Source organism: Homo sapiens, chromosome 4 (genome assembly GCF_000001405.40).
Source record: "Homo sapiens chromosome 4, GRCh38.p14 Primary Assembly".
Lineage (NCBI taxonomy): Eukaryota > Metazoa > Chordata > Mammalia > Primates > Hominidae > Homo > Homo sapiens.
Window position 1 is genome coordinate 36849662 of NC_000004.12, and position 1646 is coordinate 36851307.

Sequence of the window (1646 nt, forward strand, 5' to 3'; positions counted from 1 at the left end):
CAGACACGTTTCTTCTCTTCCAACAACCTAACCTCCACAAGGTCAAACTTCAGGTCAAGACATAGGAAAGGAGGAAAAGGGGTGATAAAATAGAACTCTCAGAGATATTAAGGAGAAGCTCTTCGAAATTAAGGGTGATGTATCTGGATTTGTATTTGGAAATCCAGGAAAAGATCACCTTAAAAGGTGCCCCTGTGCCCTTTAATCCAGAGTGGTGTGTAAATATGTTCATTGGAGTTTAGGGATGGAGAGGGCCTGAGTTAATGTTTCTCTGTGGTGTGGAATTGGTCAGGAAATCCCTGCATGTGCCAGAAGGGAGGAGAAAGACAACTGAGTTGAGAAAAGTTTGGAGGAAAGCTACAAGACTGACACAAGGCAGCATGGCCACAAGGTTGGTGGACCAAGCCTGCTATCTGATGTAGATGCTGGCTAAGACCCAGAGAGCTTCAATTTCAGTGGAAACAAAGGTGAGGCCAGATCATCAAGGATTTTCTATCAGTAGAAAATTCTCGCAGACCAGCCAATGGGCAGACTCTCAAGCAAGAAGTCAAAGCCACTGGTGGGCTCAAGATCACAACGCCATCCCCAGGCATCAGGGGCAGCAGCAAGTTCCCACTTGATTCCAGGTTCATCTATGATTGGAGTTGAAGGCAACAAGAGTCTCTGAATTTGTATTTACTGAAAAGATTCTACATTTATAAAAATTGCTTTGAAATAATAATATCTGAGTTACAGTGAAATGGCACTTTTAAATTGGTTTCTCACCCTTACCCACCCCATCACACTTCACTACCCAAAAAAGTACAGAGATGATGGTGAAGATTAGAATGGTTGTAATTAAAAACTGAGAAACTTTTTGCAAAACCAGTTTATAGAGTGTTCAACTGCAAAGCAACTACAGAAAACACTAGTTCCTGTAATCTTAATAAATATTATTTTAAAAATATTTCCTTGCTCTATAAGTTTAGGAAACACTGAACTAAAAAAATGAAAAGATTTTCATGCTGTAGAAATTCTCATAAATGTAAGTAGTGTCATCCGCATCATGAGTCTATGAGAGCAGAGTATACAGTGCCGAAGTTTGAAATATATTATCTCCAAACATATTTTCATAAAATATTTGACATAATTAGTGTTCCACAGAACACCCATTAGGAAACAATGATCTGGCTTAATATAAGGGATCTACATGATGTTTAAACATAAAGTCAGGAGATCCAGATCCAGTGTAGGTATGTTCACATACACACAGGTACACACACACACACACACACACACACACACAGAGAGAATCATAACACCATGGAAGTATTCTGCAATTACTATATTTTAGAGAAGTTAATAGAGTTGGCAATCTTATTCTCTTGCTCCATGTCATATATTCATTCTGTGTTAGAGAGTGAGACTACGAAATTGTTTTTTCCGTCAGGCACATGTCTTGCACATGACCATCTGAACACTATTAGCTGTAGTATGATGGTATAAATTTTGAATCAACATTAGTCAAGTAAAGCTAAGCCAGCTTTCTTCTCCTCTGGTTCTGGTACAATGTTCACATTAGTATAGATAATCATAGGCTATGGGATTTTTTTCCCACTGTAGACCATCATTTATTAATATGTGCTAGAGTTTCGTCTGAGTAAATA

At 38.4% G+C, this 1646-nt stretch overlaps 1 annotated feature.

Annotated features, from left to right (window-relative positions):
• Window positions 321-490: an enhancer, noted in NCBI's record as "experimental_78610 CRE fragment used in MPRA reporter constructs". NCBI's record gives its function as "activates a minimal promoter by MPRAs in K562 erythroleukemia cells, with activity observed for the introgressed 4:36851689 variant allele {active_cell/tissue: K562}" and the evidence as "EXISTENCE:reporter gene assay evidence [ECO:0000049][PMID:34662402]".